This window comes from Homo sapiens, chromosome 17 (assembly GCF_000001405.40).
Source record: "Homo sapiens chromosome 17, GRCh38.p14 Primary Assembly".
Taxonomy (NCBI): domain Eukaryota; kingdom Metazoa; phylum Chordata; class Mammalia; order Primates; family Hominidae; genus Homo; species Homo sapiens.
The window spans coordinates 29080055-29097625 of NC_000017.11; the positions used below are offsets into that span (position 1 = coordinate 29080055).

Sequence of the window (17571 nt, forward strand, 5' to 3'; positions counted from 1 at the left end):
GCTCCTTCGCCGGCTCCGGCTCTTCCGGCCGCTGCGGGACCGGGACACATCAGCAGCAGAGGCGGAGCGGCGGATGCTGGCAGCTCGCTCCGGGGGGTCCAGTTGGGCGCTCCGGGCACTTTGGATGCTCTTCCTGTCATCCTCCTCGGAGTCGGGCTCCAGGCTGCTCCGCTGGAATGGAACAGGCTTGTAGCTCAAGACCTCGTTGACGGCAGCCTCCAGGTCTGGGTCCAGGTAGGAGTGACGGCTGACGGAGCGGACGCTGGAGCTGGGAGGCTCATCCACTGCCGAGGCAGAGCTGCGTGGCCGGGGTGGCACCGACAGACTGCGGGCCAGCGACGGGTGGCTGTACTGCGAGCAGGCCTCGCTCAGGGCCATACTGGCTCCATCATCCCACTCCTCTAGGCAGCTCCGGCCCAGGGACAGGCGAGAATCAGGGCTCTCCCGGCCTAGGCCAGAGGCCCGGCTCAGGGAAGGGCTGAGTGTCCTGGAGAGGCTGTCGAGCCGGGAGGTGCTGCGGCGGGAACCGGGCGAGCCCGACAGCGAGAAACTCAGGGAAGAGCCAGCCCTGTCTTCGCCAGAGCCCCGCCGCGTGGCCGAGGAGGCCCGGCTGACCGGTGCAGAGACGGTGGAGGCCGGGCTGAAGTCGGAGCCCCACCGCTTCTGCGGCCCCCGGCCAGCGCGCCCCCCGGTCCCCGAGCGGACGGAGCCGCACTCCTCCGGCTCCTCGGACTTCCTGCCTGGGCATGGCTCCTCCCTGGGGCCCACATGGGCCTTCCTAGGGGGCCTCTCAGGGGAGGCCGCCCGCTCGCTCAGGGAGGTGAAGAGCGAATCCGCGTCCCCGGTGCCCCCGATGGAGTCCTTTAGGGTGAGCCGCTTCCGATAGCTCAGGGAGCTCACCACCGAGGACGGCCTCTCCTCCACCCCCGGGGCCTCCTTAGAGAGGCTGTTGAGGGCCGTTCCGAGGGAGGATGCGAGAACCAGACGTGGATGAGGGCAGCAGGGAGAGAGGGAGGTTGAGAGAGAGAGAGGAACAAGTATTAAACTCAGAGAATAAAGACACAGGGGGAGGGAGGCGAAAGGAGGAGAAAACGGCAGCAGCCCTGGCAAAGTGGTGGTGAGAGCATCGGAGGAAATGAAGCAAAATAATTTGCGTCAGTGAAAATAGCTTCATGGAGAATGTCATGTAAATTAGACTATTGTTCTATTTCATCACTTTTCCCCCTCTAAACGTTTAGTTCAATTTATTTCATTGTCAACTACCTGGAGCCTCGTGCCATGCCGTGGTGAACCACGGCAGTGGGGCGGGGAAGCCGGCATTATCTGCAATAACAAAATGTTGTTTGGCCGAATAAATTAAACCAATTAGAGGGGGCTGCTGGGTGCTTCTGGTGAGGGGCCAGGCTTGGGGAAGGGGCCTTGGGGGAGCTGGAGAAGGGAGGGAGAGATGTTACTTTTTCTACCCAGTCTACCTGCTGTCTCTGGGAGAGGATGAGGAAGGGTGTGTCCTGGAGGATCAGGATGGGCTTGATCAGGGGGTTGGGATTCTATGTTGTGGGGGCAGCAGGGATATGGCTTTGTGGGGGGTGAGGGGGGAGCGAGGGCTCTTCTTTCTCCCTGCTGCCACACTGGCCAGTAGGAAAGAGATGGGCAAGGGGAAGCTCTGGATTCCAGGGGTAGCTGTCTGTATGATCAGAGGACTATGACTGGCTAGAAAACAGGGGAGTACATTCCCCCAGTGGATGGGTATTAGGAGGAAAGAAGTGGGGGCAGTGAAGAGATTAGAGGAAGGAGAGAATGGGCAGAAAAAGACAGAAATGTGCCTGTAACTGGGTCAAGAATCAGTGGAACTGGTGCCTCTTCTGCTGCTATTCACGGTAAGACGTCAGAGATCCAGAGCTGGCCAGGGCTGTGGGATTAAGAGTCCCCTGTGCCCCATCCCAGTTTTGATTCCAAGGGTCTGAACTATCAGGAAGCTTGATCAACATTTGTTGAATGAATAAGTGGAGGTGACATTTAACTTACATCAAACCAAAGCCTGGAGCCTAATGGGAAAACATTCCCTGGAAAAAATAAGGGCGACGCAGCCCTGGCTAAGAAGAAACTTCCTGTGCCCATGCACATGCCAGAAGCATGCCCGGGCCGCAGTCACAAATGCCAGACAAGAGACACAGGCCTGCCCTCATGGGATCCAGGCGCTACTTGTCCATTCCTTGTGGCACAAGGTGGCTTTTCCTCCCAGCTCAAGGCCATATGCTCACCTGGAACTCTTTAAGCTGCCATCATCAGAAGCTGCCTTGGAAGGTCCCTTGTTTTTTGACAACCAGGACTTGACCCCGTCAACACGGTCCTCCAGCTCCGAGTCCACATCAGAGTCTCCCTCACTGTAGGGATGAGGAGCAGAAAGGTAGACAAGGCATAGGCACCTGCTGCCCACGAGGGGAGCAGATGGGGGTGCAGGGGGTGTCTTGGGCAGGGGGGATGTGGGCAGCATGCACGTCGGTGAGTCGGGAGGGCGGGAATGAGAGAGGTTAGACAGAGCACACCATTCACAAGGAGCCTGTCCCCACTCAGCAGCCACACTGTGTGACAACCACCAAGAAGACCCTCAGGAGCATGGAGGCAGCTCCCAAGCCAGTTATCTGTGACAGGCCACTGACCAATCAAGGGAGAATGACTTAAAGACCATCCACTCATCAATTTCAGCTAAATGGCTCTGAGCTAAAAAGAGGAGCCCTGGGTTCTTCAGTGACTCCTTGAGGCCTACTCTGCTGTTTCTTGTCTGCCATTCCTCAGATTGTGGCTATAGCTGCTGTCAATTTCCATGCCTTTGTTACAAGAGCTGGGCTGCCAGCCACAGAGCAGAAGAGAAGGGCTTCGTAGGATTTGGAGTTAGCTTGAACCTGAAGGTCTCCTTAGTGGATGGCAGCACCAACCTGGGCTCTAGGTTAAGGAGGCCCAGGCCACATCCCAGATCCACCCTGTGGCTTCTCTGGCTCTTAAGAAACAGAGAAAGGAAAAGGGGCGGGGGGCGGGGGGCATCAGCATTTCCAGAGGGACTAGCAACAGTTTCAGTATCTAAATTGTCCCTGGAGACCCAGCTGGGCTCAGAAAGTCCCACACCAGAGCCCTGTCGCTCAAGGTCTCCTCTTCCGTCCTCAGGTAGCCCCCAGCCCTTGCTCACAGTGCTTCATCGGGCAGAGCTGACCTTAGCACTTGAAAGAAAGCCCAAAGGAGTCCAATTCTGAGGCTGGAGTCATGGCCACCCCCTCATGAAGCAGCTGGGCTTGGAGATAGCTTCTGAGTAAGATTGCTTCTAAAATTCTGCAGAATGTCTGCTCACCAAGTTGCCCTGCTATGGATAGGCTAGGGTTTCTCCTCGATATAAATTTCCTTTCCTCTGTGTCAAGAGGAATGGCTCCATTCCTGAATTATGTTCTTAAATAAACAGCCACACAGGCATGTGTGCGCGCGCGCGCACACACACACACACACACACACACACGAAACCAGCAGATTGTTCTGGGGACCATGCGAGAGCCCAACTCATAGAGAGGGGAATAAAGAGGCATGTTTTATGGGCTTCCATCAAATACAGAATTATAACAAAGACGAGGCTGGCTGATGCCCCGGGTAAACAGGAGTTTAGCAGACAACCTCGAAACTGCTAATGCAAGCCCTGTGCCCGTCCGAGCCTGGCAGATTTACTGTGGTGCATGGGCCCCATGGAACACCAATACCACCTGATTTATACACCTGTGCAAAAAACCTCCCTCTCTAGCTTCAGAGCCTGTAATTTATCACCACCGTTCATAACCATATTGATTGCCTTTAGAAAGGAGGTGCTGTATGCATCGCAAAATCTATGTCTACATGTTAAAAGCGTTTCCATATAAATCTCCCTTAATACCGTGCTGTTTACTGCTTTCATTAAGGTTATGGCAATAACAACTGTATCTCTAAGTAAATCGAAACATTATTTCTCTGCCTGCCTTACTGCGCTGGGCTCAATAACTTGGAGCTGGGGCCCAGAGCTGCTGAGGAAGGAGCCACACCACCTCTCTGCCATCAGCCGGAACCTGGTTAGAGCTGCACGTCCCCATGCGTCTATGTGAGCACACACCAGTGTGTGTGAGTGTGTGTGCATGCGTGGTGTACCTGTGTGTGTGCATGCCTGGCAGTGGTTTAGAATATGATCTTAAATGCGCATTTTATCAGCCCTTGAAGCTCTTGCCACACAAGGATGGCAGGGTTGAAACACACAGGGGACAGACAGTTGTGGGCCCAGAATATGAATTTTCCTCCTTACATACAGAACAGTGGATGGGTTGCAAAGCTGGCCTGCCTGCCCTCGCCTTCCCTTTAGTTGCAAGCATCTAGAAGATGTTCTTTTCCTTAAATAATCAGGCCCGTAAACAAACTCCAGGGGCAGGCAGGCTCAGAGGGCAGTTGAAATTTTAAATGGTTGGAATTAAACCTCACGTCAAATACAATTTATGTCCGGGCTCATGTGCTATTAGTTAACGGGGAGCCGAATCACGGGGGAACAAACAAACGGAGACAGAACGGCGGGGGATATTAATTGTGTGTGACAACCAGGCTCCAGCGGCCCTCTATCACTGTTACACACTATTACATTTATCATTAGCTCTCACTGAGTCCTGTGCGCTGCCACCAGCCCATCCTGGCCAGGGGAGGGGGTCCATCAGGCGAGAGAGAGTGGGGGAAGAAACCCAATGCCATGCTAAAAAAAAAAGACCTCTAAAAAACAACCCTGTCGAACTTGATGGAGGATCAGCCCGCTCTGCCTGAAGGCCTGCGCATCTGCATCCGCTGTCCAGCTCCCACCCAGAAAGCGGGAAAAGAGAGGGCTGGATTTCCTGGGCTTCCTGCCACCTGACAGTACCAGCACAAGCGCCCGCTGGGGCCTCCCTCTGCCCACGGTACCGCAGGGAGTAAAGTAAACACATCTGGCTGTGTTCCCTTCCCCCGCCACGGCAAGCAGCCCATGATTAGCTGCCTGAATGCTTTCTCCAAACAAGAAACTGGGAGATGCCCCTCACCTTCTACCCTTGTCTGCCAAGAGAAGGTAGTGGACCTTTAAAGATGAAACACGCCCGCTTCTTTCAGGCAGCTCAGGCTCCCAAGGAGCCCAAGGATGTGGACAGATCCAGCCCAAACAGACTTTTCCCCCCAGAGAAATAGGCCAGGGAGGTGGCCACACTTGGTTTTTGAGGGAGGAATGTGCTGGAGCTCAGGAAGGTAAACTTCTCAAATAGGCTGCGCTTTCCTTTCGGCAGGAGCCCCCCCATCCTGCCCACCAAGGGTGCACGGGCCAGCCCCAGCCTTCTGGGGAGCACACCTCATTGCCCGCTCCCTGCCTCCCCCGAGGATAGAGTCAGCATGTTAGCGTTAGAGACCAGTGAGGCGGGAGTGTGGGGAGGCTGTATCCACATGCTGCGTGCAGCGGCCCCAGGGTGGGAGCCAGTGTTAGGGGTGGTTAGACACCCGCGAGGACAGGCAGAGAGCACATGCGCTCCAGTCCTCACAGTTTATTCTTTCTTTTCTGATACTTTGTCACCATGTCCTGCAAACTGGAAATAGAAGGAAAATGGTGGGCAAGGGGTCCAGAGGAAACAGATGAAATCAATCGGCAACCCAAGGTGGACCCCTTAGCTGAAGACCTCTCTTCCCTCAGCAAGAGCCAGCTCTGGCTGGTTGAGACCAGGTAGTGGGATGCGTGATGGCACTGTCCTCAAAATCTGATGCGGGCTGCCCCTGGCACCTCTCCCCTGCCCCAAAGCAGCAGGGTCCCTGCGCTGCCCCAGACCTGCCTGCAGGATGGGCCCCAGCCCTAAGGTGGGAAGGGGGCAGATCTAGGGTCCACCTAGGGCAGCCCTGGGAGCTTCTCCATGGCCTGGTGCTACCCCGCACTGCTGGCCTTCCTTCCTCGTGACTGTCTCCTCAGCCTAAGACTACAAATCTCTTTCTCTCCAAACCATTCCCCGGGTGGGTTTTATGAGAAAATCTCTGGCATAGTAACAAGGCACCACAGCCTTTAAATCTCTGCTCTCCCCAGAGTGGGGCAGGTGCCATCGGAAATGCAGCTAAACGGGAGAATAACTCATCTTGAGCGGGCAGAGCTGGAGGGCCTGGTCGTGGAGAGGGGAGACTGGCTGGGTGGCCTCCATCAGGGTGCACCTGTCTCACCGTCTGCCCCTGCAGGACAGGCTGTGCTGGGATCTGGCAGTAAAGGGAGGGTGGGTTGGCGGCTTGCTCATGGGGAGGCAGAGGTTGCAACTGTTCTACCTGGTCGTCTGGTTCCAGAGGTGGTCAAGAGGGCCTCCGTGCTAGCTGCAGATGCCCCAGAGGCCACTTCTCACCTGTTGATGAGGTCCTCATTCTCATCACTCTCCATCTCATCCTCAATGGCAGCCTGCAGGTCCCCGATGCGCTTGAATGCCAACTTTAGGTCAGCCTGCAGGCTCTGGTTAGCAGCCTCCAGGCTTTCTAGATCCATCTCCTAGGAGGAAGGGGGCAGCCCAGTTTGCAGGAGGGCTAGCTTCTCCCCTAGATGGCCAGAAGAAGCCTGCTTCAAGTACTTTCCGGTCATGGGGGTGCTACCTGAGGGCTGACACAGGCTGCCAGAGCCTTTTCCGCTCTGTTGCTGCTGGGCTGTGGGGTCCAAGCCTCATCTGAGGGAGTCTCCAGTGCCGCTAGCTTCCTGGCCTGCCCTCTTGATATGCTCCTCCTCCCTCCCATTCTCTGACTCATGTGCAGTTTCTTTGCACCCTATCCTCAACCAGGCCAGAGTGAGGCATACACTCAGCAGCTACTCAAGGGGCTGCCATGTGGGCCCCGTGGGGGACAGGGGGCATTACCAGTTCGTGCTTCTTGCGGCTCGCCTCGGCCTCCTTCCTGGCAAGCTCGCCCATCTCCTCCTTGGTGTCCCGGAGCTGCCTCTGTAGCCGCTTGTTCTGTTCCTTCTCCCGGTTCTCGGCTGCAATGCGCTGATCCCGCTCCTCAGTCAGCTTCTCCATGTTTTCCTTGAGACGGCTAGCCAGGCTCTGGATAGGTAGGTGGGGAAGAAAGACACAGCAGGCAGGCCCATCAGCCAGGCAGAGGGAGGGTGTGGCAGAGCTCTGGGTGAGGAGGCCTGGGGTCGAGCTCTGGCTCCACCGTTCATTGGCTACCTGGGCAAGCAACCCCGAAGCTTCCCTTGCTTTTCTGTAAAATGTGGGGAGAATAACACCTAACCCCCAGGGGTCTTCTGAGGATGAATAAGGTAATGAATGTGAATGCACTCTGAAAGATGAAAGGTGCTATTATCATTATTACTACACCAAGACTGAGGGAGTGTTCTGGGTACAGCCTGGTGGGCCTGTCGGTATTGACACTGCATGTAGAGTCCTCTCAGGTCAGCAGGGCTTCCCGCAGGGACTCTGAACCCAGAAGCCCCAAAAGCTAGATCCTGTGCTCAGAGGTAAATGGCTTTGCTGGAGTTCTGAATTAGGAGAGACTAAACAATCATCAGATTCCAAGCAGAGAGCATCTCTCTAAGCCTAATGAATCTCCTGCCAGGCAGTGGGATGCTGAGCAAAAAATGACCTGGAGAGAGGGGCTGAATGTGAGGGAAGAACCCCGCATCTGCTTGTAATCCTGGTTCTACCTCGGACTGGTCCCCCAGCCTCTATATCCCTAAAATAAAAGAGCCAGGCTGCAGGATTGGGCCGTTTGTGTTTAACATCCTATGAGTCTAAACCACAAAACTCTCTGAGCGGAAGGGAACCTGAGGGGTAGAGGTGCGGGAAGGGACTAGGCCCAAGAGAAAAGGAGACAAGTCCTGTGGGCCTGTCCTGTGTCCACCAGACCAATGGCCTCTTCTGTCCCTTGATAGCTTTGTGACCTTAGGCAACCCACTTAACCCTTCCTGTATGTAAAATGGGGATCAAAATATTATCAGCCAGCCTGGGGTTGGGGTGGGCAGAAAATAAATTCTTTTTTTTTTTTTTTTTTTTTGAGACGGAGTGTCGCTGTCGCCCAGGCTGGAGTGCAGTGGCGCGATCTCCGCTCACTGCAGGCTCCGCCCCCCGGGGTTCACGCCATTCTCCTGCCTCAGCCTCCGGAGTAGCTGGGACTACAGGCGCCCGCCACCACGCCCGGCTAATGTTTTGTATTTTTAGTAGAGACAGGGTTTCACCGTGTTAGCCAGGATGGTCTCGATCTCCTGACCTCGTGATCCGCCCACCTTGGCCTCCAAAAGTGCTGGGATTACAGGCATGAGCCACCGCGCCCAGCCGAAAATAAGTTCTTAAGTTTCCCCTAACTCTCTCCAGCTCTCCTGAGAACTGTGACCCCGCCTTGGAAGGGTCAGTTGTGCTCTCTTCCTGTGTCCAGGTTATTAATGCCATCTAGATGCCCACCTGTTTCTATCCCTACCTAAATGCCTGCTCCATGGACTGTGAGCTGATGGAGGAGGTGACAGGGCTGCCCCTCACCAACCACACTCATCAACACAGGGCCCAGGGAGAACCGACGGTGTGGAGACAAAGGCTTATAAACTCAAGGAGAACTTAAAAATAAGGTGAGAGGGATGTAAACCCAGGAGATAATCCTTTCTGCCTCTCTCTTGCTATCTGCTCTGCCAGAGATGGAAGGGGCTGGCCAATACTGGCTTTGGGAGACCGAAAGAAAAAGGATTGGTCCAGCATGGTGGCTCATGCCTGTAATCCCAACACTTTGGGAAGCTGAGGCAGGCGGATTGCTTGAGCCCAGAAGTTCAAGACCAGTCTGAGCAACAAGGCAAAACCCTGTCTCTGCAAAAAATACAAAAATTAGCCAGGCATGGTGGCACATGCCTGTGGTCCCAGCTACACAGGAGGCTGAGGCAGGAGGATGGGAGGATTGCTTGAGCCCAGGAGGTCAAGGCTACAGTGAGCCATGATTGCGTCACTGCACTACAGCCTGGGCAACAGAGCGAGACCCTATCTCAAAAAAAAAAAAAAAGGGGAAGAAGAGAGAATGAACCTTATAATAAAGGGAGAGGAGAATGGGATGGGAAGAGGGTAAGAAAGAGAAATAAGATTGGAGAGAGGAAAAAATATAAAATATTTCATGCCTGTAATCCCAGCACTTTGGGAGGCCGAGGCGGGCAGATCATGAGGTCAGGAGATCAAGACCATCCTGGCCAACATGGTGAAACCCCCTCTCTACTAAAATACAATTTAAAAAAAGCACGTGCCTGTAGTCCCATCTACTCGGGAGGCTGAGGCAGGGGAATCGCTTGAACCCGGGAGGTGGAGGTTGCAGTGAGCCGAGATCGTACCACTGCACTCAAGCCTGGCGACAGAGTGAGACTCTGTCTCAAAAAAAAAAAAAAAAAAAAAAAAAAATGAAGGGAGAAGAAAGAATAGGATCATAATCAAGAAAAAGGGAGAGAGAAAAAAAAAAGCAGAGACAGGAGGGCAGAAGAAGTGAGGAAGAAAGGGAATGAAGCAGGGAAGGGGAGAGGAGCAGAGCGAGGGCAGATGAGAGAACAGATTCCAGCCTGCGCAGAAGTGGCACCATCCGCTGCATATTTATGACCCTGCCAGAGAACCGGTTGAGGGGAACAGGCGGGGGGAGCTCGTGGTGGAGGAAAATATGAAGACGAAGAGCTAAGCTGCTCTGGTCCCTTGGCAGAAAGCAAGCACGGAAACAGAATGTAAAGCAGGCGGGCTCCACGGTAGCCAGAGAGCAGGCCAGGCAGGGCGGGAGAGAAGCACCTGCCCGTCAGCTGGCCTGGCAGTGAGGCACAGGCCTCTGAGGACTGTCCGGGGGCCTGTCCAGCCCTGCTGAGCATGCGCGGCTCCAGCGCTGGGGCAGCTCTGCCCTGTTTGGTGTGGCCCGGGAGAAGTGTGAACCCACCTCCAGCCGTTTCACTTGCGTCCTTTCAAACTCCAGGCGTGTCTCCAGCTCCCGTATCTTAGCTTCCTGCCTGCTCACCAGGGACTTGTCCACCATGGACTGCTCCAGGAACTCCACCTGGCTCTGGAGGGCTTGTAGCTAGAGGTGGGGGACAGGAAGAGAAGAAAGAACTGAGCCCAGAAAGGGAGGAGACTGCGTCTGGGGCAGGCAATATCACCACAGTGACCAGAAGGCAAGGGGAGGGAGGGATGCACCTGGGAGGAAAGAGAATGGAGCCCTGGGCCAGAGGCCTCCCCCATCTGCCCCAGTGCTTGGCACAGAGATTGCCCTTCAGAGAGAAAGGAGAAAGCTAAGGATCGGAGAGGGAATACAGATGGGAAATGAGGCAGGGGAAGCCCAAATGTCTGTTATGGTGACATGGCTCCAAGCCTAGCTCTTGCTCCTCATTTACGCTGCTCTGTGGATTACTGATGGCAGAGAAAAGCGCCTTCTAAACTGTGAACTTGGGGGTTCCTCCCACACCTAGTGACCCTGGCACTCTCTCTCTCCTGAGGGAGCCCCTGGTCCTCACCTTCTCCTGCAGCTCCTGCTTCTCTTTGTTGGCTTCTTCTAGCTGAGCTTGGAGATCATTTATCTGAGCCAGGTCCCGGGAAGCCTGGGAAAGGAATGAGAGCATCAGAAGCAGGATCCCCCATAAGCATTCAACCAGCCCAGCCCAGCTGGAACACCAGGGGACCGAGGTTCCCACTCCATCACCTCCCAAAACAAGCGGTTGTGCGGGGGACCCATGAGGAGGACCACAAGGATGGTGACGGTGCAGAGTGTGACGGGCACTCCTGGCAGGGGTACCTGAGCCACGGCAGCCTTGTGCTTCTTCATCAATTCGTTCATGTCTTCCTGATCTTCCTCCAGCCGGTTCTGGATCTCATTCTTCTCACGCTGAAGGCGGCTCAGCTGCTCCTCCAGCTGGAGAGAGGCAAAGACAGATCAGAGGGCCTCAGGCCCAGTGTGCCTGTGGGCTCCAGCTGCCTCCAATGGCAGGGGCATTGTAGAGAAGATGATAATGGGCTGAGCCTGCCTGCTGGGGTGGGTCCCAGGACTAGTGATGCTCAAGGAGCTGCCTGTCCCGCTCTGGACCAGGGAGATGAGGGAAAGGGCTGTGTGCAGTACAGGCAGACCCTGGGCCTCTGAGCTGAATGACAGCTGCTTCCTGGCAGCTCCTTTGAGGCTAATGAGAAGGCAGAAAAGGTCTGCCCAGAACAAATGACCCATCATCCTGGCACTATCAGTCCAGGCCCTGGCCTGCGTGCACTCTGCCCCCTTCAGGCCCCAGGGAAGGACCCCTCAAGTCTGCGAAGGTCTCCTGGCTTAGACTCTCATTTTCCCTGGGACTGCCCACTCCCTGGGCATCCAGCCCCGACAGCCAGTCCCCTCCTTGGGGGAGGGGAAGAGAGATCCAACAGCAGCTTCAGGAAATGAATGAATCTATTAGCCTGTAATTCCAAACCAAAATGACTGTGTTGGCTCCTTCTCTGCCCCATCCATCTTGTTACTGGGCTGTGGGGAGCTGGGGAAGCCTCCGCCAAGAAATTTATTAACTCAGATTTAAATAAAATGGTAATTTTATAACAACCTTTTTTAACACAATTAAGGAATTTGAATTACTCACCTGAGAACTGCTGAGGAGCACAAATGTCATGGGGATAAATCAAGCCCGTGAGATTGGCATCTCTCAGCAGCTAGGTGACTAGCTCAGGGGCCATGAAGCCACCAGCCCAGCCCAGCCTCCTCCCCTGCCCCATTCCCTGCCCAAGGGGCCTGCCCACTGGGGTGGGTCCCAGGACCAGTGATGCTCAAGGAGCTGCCTGTACTGGCCGCATCCCAGTAATGAATTCTCTGCCGATGGATGGGCCGTGGGAGAGGTGGGAAATTAAAAGGGAGGCATTAAATAAGAGCTCTAATTAGCTGCCGCTTGGGCTTGTCAGTGGGCTGGGCAGGGGGAAGGGGAAGGAAGCCAAGCCATCCTGTCCTCTTATCTGTGCTTCTGCTAATCTCTAGGCACCTGTTTACATCCCTCAGCCACATTAGCTGCCTTTATTTATGGTGTTGGGGCCTGCGGCCAAGCTCCCGTAGGCAGGTGGTTAAACAGGGAGATGGGCCCTTGCTGGCTCCCTCTTCTGCCCGCTCCTCCCCGAGGCCTCTGCTCAGTGTGGAGAGACGCAGAGGAGGGGAGGCCCGCTCTTCCTGCAGCAAGTCCTGGCGTGAAAGGACCTGTCACAAGTCCTGACGTGGAGGGACCTGTCTAGGGTGAAGGGAGCCACAGAGGCAGCTCTATTCTGCCTCAGCCCCCCGAGCTCTGCCCCGGGCACCTTGGCCCCTCACCGCTGTCTTGGCTTTGGCGATGTCATCAATCTGCAGGTGCAGGTCTTCGATCTCCACCTCCATTGCTTTCCGTGCTTTCACGGCTGCCGCACAGGTGAACTCTGACTCCTCCAGCTGGACACAGACCACCCCCGCCCCAGGGAGAGATGTCAGCCATTCCTTGGGGGCAGGAGGGCTGTACAGGAAAGAGGGAGCTCGGATGCCCTCCTTCTCCTCCTCCATTCACTTCAGACCCCAGGGCCATGGCTGTGTGGTGGTGCACGCGTGGGGATCTCCTCCCGTGACATGGCTGGTGGGCACCAGGCCCCATCCACACCATCCCAGGCTGGGCGGTGAGACAGTAAGGCACACGCAGAGCCTGGGGAGTCTAGCTGCTACACGTGGCTCTCCCCTCTTTCCTGTCACTTTCCTTCCCAAGGACTCAAGAACCACTGAGAGGAGCGAGAGAGAGAAAGAGAATGGAAAGGTAAGCTCTGTTGTGCCTGGATCAGCCGTGTGCTCTCTGTGGATACCTGGTTCTTGAGCTGGGCAATCTCTCGCTTGCTGGGAGCACTGTTCTTCAGGTGGTCCAGCATGAGCTGGGCATCTGCCAGCAGGGCCTTGGTGCGCTTCAGGTCCTTCCGCAGCCGCTTCTCTGACTCAAAGTCCCGCCGGTTCACCTGGGTGGGCACCAGCAGTTGGGGTTCTGGGCTCTGCACAGGGCTTCCTCCTATCTTCCCCAAGCTCCCTCCTCACCACGTCCTCATTATCAGTGTCCCCATAAGGATGCTGGAAGAGCCAGGGTCATGCCAACCAGCGATAAAGGGCTGGGTGTGCCAATGTATGGTGATGCCCCCATCCCACAAGGGATGACGATGGGCTCTTTGCAGCACCCCCACCCCCGACAGCTCTGTTCGTGGCTCCCCATCCCTAGGATCCCCACTCCTCAGGCCGCATGGGCAGGGAGCCGGCCAGGCTTGGTGGGTGGAGCATCCCCTGACCTGGTCGCTGAGGGTGGCGAGCTTGCCCTCCAGCTCCCGCTTCTCTCGCAGAACCTTCTGCTTGTCCTCATACTCTTCCTCTAGCTGCACCTCCATCTGTTTTAACTGGAGTACCATGGGGACAGAGACCCGTCCGTCCCTTTAGTGCCTGGTGCGAAGCAGGCCCCTTCCATTCTGGGTTCCCCACTCCAGGAAAACAGTGGGGCAGGCCTGAGCACAATGATGTTGGTGGAGGGGTCAGAACCTAAATTCCAGGTTTCTAGGGTTTCAAAGCAGCCTGGGAGGGTGAGGAGGGATGGCAGGCCACATGCGGTGGCTAGCCAAGACAGAGTAGGAGAGACCTTGCCGCATGGTGGAGACCTGCCCGGCCAGGCTGGCTGACTGCAGGCAGCACCAGTGCAGCGCAGCACAGCAGGGGCACAGGGGGCTGCCCCTGGCACAGAAAGCAGGGAGCGATAGTTCCTCAGGGGCCCAAGCTTCTCTACAGACTCTGAGCCAATACATCCTGCCAATGCTAGGATCCCGAGAGGCGCTTCCTGGCCCAGAATGACAATGGAAGACGATGTGGCTGAGGTAGGGAGGTGGAAAGCCCCTTACTTTAAAGCGGTGATGGGAACAGGTGTTTACGCTGGACAGGTAAGTACTCAGATACCTTACCTTCTTCTGACACGACTGCCGGGCCTCCTCCACCTCCTCATCCCGACTCTCCATCTCCTTAGAATGGGTCTGTCTCATCCGCTCCATCTCCATCTCCAGACGCAGCTTGGCCTGGAGGTGGTTGGAGTAGGGTCTGGGTTCCCTCCCCAGCTGTGGCCACCCCCTTCCCACCTGTGCATGGCTCTCCCTAGGCTCAGGGGCCGAGAACGTCCACCAGCCAGTTCCCTTTGCTGGCACCTTGCTCCCGTGGCAGCAGCTTCTCCAGAGCAGCTGAACTCCCTTACTAGAGGTCTGGCATAGGCCCACAGAGAGGCAGCTGGGGTGGGGACAGTCCTGCAGCTTCTCCGTCTGCCTGCAGGCTCTAGCTCCCTGAACTGACTTGGTGGCTGGGTAGCAGGCTGGGTGGGCCTGTGGCCCTCAGCTGCCATGCATCCTGAGCCCCTCCCTACTAGAGCTCCATCAGATTTGTTTTTGTGGAAAGTTCCACGAGCGCGTCTTCACACTGTGGCTGGCACAGATCAGGTGCTCACTCCACATTTTGTGAGTAGGTGAGTGAGTGAATACGCGAATGAATGGAGGCAGGATCCTCTGGCCCATGCCTGAGGCTGGCTGTGGGGATGGTGGCGGCCTCGCTGCACCTCACCTCTCCCTTGGCCAAGCCCTCCTGTACCTGTTCCAGCATCTGGATGGTCCCTGCCTGCTCATCCAGCTCTTCTTCCTGATCCTTGACTTTGGCCTCCAGGTCCCGGAGCTGTTTCTTGACCTTGGCCAGAGAAGCCTCATCCTTGGACTCTTGGGAAGAAATGTCCTGGAGCTCTGCCTCTAGAGACACAACCTTCTGGGTGAACCCTGCAATGTCCATGTCTTTTTCCTGGAGCAAAAGAGATGAGGCTGGTGCAGGGCTGACCCCAGGTTGTGAGGGGGACAGGGCACAGATGGTGGGTGGCCCTACCCACCTCTAGTTGCTGCTTCAGGCTGAAAGCCTCAGCGAGGAGCATGTCCTTCTCCCGCTGCAGCTTCTCCCGCTGCAGCTTCTCCCGCTGGGCCTCCTCATGCGCCTGCGAGAGCTCACTGTCAAACCTGCGAGGGAGTGTGGCGGCTCCATCAGATGGGGAAGAGCCAGGGTCCCCCACACAGACACTGTCAGGAGGTGGTGCCATGGACAGGACTCAAGCAGGGGTGGGGGGACCCATGCAGCCCTAACGTGGGGCCAGTTGTAAGGTAGCGGTGACATTTAGAGGTGGCAGGTCAGGCCACTGAGGCCCTATTGAGCAACTGGGTTGGGATAGGGAGCACTCAGGTGAGCCCTTTCACCAAGTAGGCCTAAGAGGGACCCACAGACTGCTTAACAGGCCCCCTCAGGAGTTAAGTCTCTACATTTTCCATTTCAACACATCAAAGAATGAGGGACCCAGGTGAGGGTGGGGTGGGAAAAGGATAGAGATGAGCACCCTGCTTCCACTAACTCACTTTCCACAGTTTGGTTCGACAACTGTAAGGGCAATAGCTAGCTCCTTGCCCCTGCCTCTGGGCACCAGCCTTTGGCCAGGACCACGCACCCCAGCAGTGCCGGCAGGACACCACCCGGACACCCCATACTGGGTTCAGAGCTGGCATTCCCACTGTGCCCAGCTGGCCACATGCCTCAATGGGCACACAGGGGGCCTCGTTCTTCACTCCTCCACTTGCCAGCCTTCCATTTCCCACTAAATATGGAGCAAATTGCTCAAATTCCTCTTAACACCTTCCCTGAATAGCTAATCAGGTTCCTGTGGAAGTTGAATGCTCCCCTTACCCCAACTCCACATCAAAAAAAGTAAGAAAACTCCGGGCAGCTGAAACCTAATAAGTTGCCCAGCGGGGAGCAGGGCAGCACAGTAACTAGGCCGAGCTGGCAATGTCATCGGGTGCTCAGAAGGGGGGTCGAGCTAAGGGTGCCAGCCTTTGGGTAAAGGGGTAGGGTGGGGGCAGAGATGAGAATGAGGGAAGTGGTGGTCATGGTGTCAGGTGGGAGGAATAGAAAACCTTCCTATTTTCCCCAGCTGGGGAGATGGTGGTTGGTCCAGGAGGCCGGGGGTAACCCAGGGTCACTGGAAAGGTTCTGTTCTGCCATCCTCACTCCCAGTGTTGTGGGTGTGGGGATACCCCTTCACAAAGGCAACCAGTGCCTCTGCTGAGAAGCCCTTCCCCTGCAGAGGAGAAATGGGCACTGTTCCCGCTCCCCAGGGCGCCCTGCTGTTCCTAGGGTGTGTGGGTTCCTCAGTACTGCTAATGAAGACGTCCCATCCTCATTCCCAGCCCCGGAAATTAATTTAGACTGGATTTTCTCCTGTGAGGGCCACCCCCCTCCTTTGTATCATTACCATAATGAGATGGAAGTGGCACGGTAGTTTAACGACATTAGTCAGGAGAGTGTGTTTGTGTAGCTGAGGCAAGTGAGGGAGAGGCAGAGCTGGGGGCTGAGGGCAGGGACATAGAGGTTCCTGCACAGGCCCTGGTTGATGCACTTCCTGATGGGGCCTGGCACGGGATGACAGGCACATGATGCAGGGAGCACCTCTGAAAGCAGAGGCCTGGGCAGGCCTTCAGTGGGGACACAGCCTGAGTCCACCCTGGAGGTCAGGAGGGGGCCCCTTCACGTTCCAAGATGAGTGACCAGGCAAGCAAGGCCCCTGGACAAATTCAGGTCCTTCCTTCTTTCCTCCCTGGAGGGCGAGGAGGCAGTCCTGTCTGTGGCTGCTCCAGAAGGTTCTCTGGGCCCAGGGCAGGGGGCCCACCCACCTCCTCTGCTTCTTCTCCAGTTCGTGGTTGCGGACCTGCTGGCCCTCCAGGTGCAGCTTGGTGTCTTGCAGCTCAGCCGTCAGTCGCTGGCACTTCTTCTTGAGCTGCTGCAGAGCCCGCTGACTCTCCTCACTATCTGCCTGCAGGTCCCCGAGCTAGGGGCCAAGATGGGGTGCATATACAGAGAGACCCAGAAGCATAGGTGGAGAAGGTGAGGAGAGGGAAGTGGGTGAGTGAGGGGAAGACCCAGGGATGCAGGAGGAAGTCGGGTCTCCCAGGGAACTGAAGAAGCTCTAATGATAGCTTGCTCCTGATTGCCCCTGCACCAAGAAGCTAACATGCCAGCCTCCCCGATCCATTCCAGCCAGGCCTGCCTGCCCCCAGAGTTCACTGGACCGACACAAGGCACCAGTCCTCTCCTGGCCCTCCCAGGCACAGGCCTCAGCTCCTCCCCAGCCTCACCCGCCGTTCCAGCTGCCTCTTGTTCTGCTGCTCCACCTCCAGCTTGTCCTCAAACTCCTGCTGGAGCCGTTTCTTGGTGAAGTCCACCTCCCGCACAGCCCGCTCATACTTCAGCCGCCACTCGCCACCTGTGGGGTTGAGGCAGACAAGGGAGGATGGAGGTGCTGAGAGTCCCCAGAAGGGGCAGAGGGGAAGGAGGATGGGGCAGGGGGAGCAGCAGGTGGAGTCAGCCAGGGCTCAGAAAGCTCTCTGCAATGATGGCTTCCTCCCAAGGCAGAAGGAGCCACTAGCCAGGAGAAGACCAGAGCATGAGATGTGGCTACATGTGCTGTGCCCCCCAAAGGACTGCTGGGACCACGGCCCTCAGTCTTTGTCATGATCATGGTTGTTTCAGCTCTACCTA

The 17571-nt window shown here is 56.3% G+C and overlaps 1 protein-coding gene across 6 annotated transcripts in view, besides 3 other annotated features; it reads right to left on the bottom strand.

Moving 5' to 3' along the window:
* MYO18A (myosin XVIIIA) overlaps nt 1-17571 on the bottom strand; it is a 109277-nt gene that overhangs the window by 8933 nt on the left and 82773 nt on the right. For 4 of the 6 annotated variants that reach the window (NM_203318.2, NM_001346766.2, NM_001346765.2 and 1 more), the window contains 14 exons: nt 17169-17296; nt 16707-16861; nt 14882-15005; nt 14596-14796; nt 13926-14036; nt 13269-13373; nt 12801-12947; nt 12289-12402; nt 10756-10872; nt 10478-10561; nt 9907-10044; nt 6882-7067; nt 6384-6523; nt 2262-2384 (listed from right to left, as the gene is read on the bottom strand). In NM_203318.2, the coding sequence (NP_976063.1) occupies nt 2262-2384; nt 6384-6523; nt 6882-7067; nt 9907-10044; nt 10478-10561; nt 10756-10872; nt 12289-12402; nt 12801-12947; nt 13269-13373; nt 13926-14036; nt 14596-14796; nt 14882-15005; nt 16707-16861; nt 17169-17296 (1873 nt within the window). Of the gene's footprint in view, nt 1-2261; nt 2385-5549; nt 5595-6383; nt 6524-6881; nt 7068-9906; nt 10045-10477; nt 10562-10755; nt 10873-12288; nt 12403-12800; nt 12948-13268; nt 13374-13925; nt 14037-14595; nt 14797-14881; nt 15006-16706; nt 16862-17168; nt 17297-17571 lie in introns of all 6 variants that reach the window. The other 2 variants (NM_078471.4, NM_001346767.2) reach the window with 2 other exon arrangements.
* Nucleotides 6917-7211: a silencer, noted in NCBI's record as "tiled region #1762; K562 Repressive non-DNase unmatched - State 15:Elon". NCBI's record gives its function as "represses a minimal TATA promoter and a strong SV40 promoter by Sharpr-MPRA in K562 cells {active_cell/tissue: K562}" and the evidence as "EXISTENCE:reporter gene assay evidence [ECO:0000049][PMID:27701403]".
* Nucleotides 16332-16832: an enhancer, noted in NCBI's record as "H3K4me1 hESC enhancer chr17:27423404-27423904 (GRCh37/hg19 assembly coordinates)". NCBI's record gives its function as "activates a minimal SCP1, AML or CMV promoter by ChIP-STARR-seq in naive H9 embryonic stem cells {active_cell/tissue: H9 hESC(naive)}" and the evidence as "EXISTENCE:reporter gene assay evidence [ECO:0000049][PMID:30033119]".
* Nucleotides 16833-17333: an enhancer, noted in NCBI's record as "H3K4me1 hESC enhancer chr17:27423905-27424405 (GRCh37/hg19 assembly coordinates)". NCBI's record gives its function as "activates a minimal SCP1, AML or CMV promoter by ChIP-STARR-seq in naive H9 embryonic stem cells {active_cell/tissue: H9 hESC(naive)}" and the evidence as "EXISTENCE:reporter gene assay evidence [ECO:0000049][PMID:30033119]".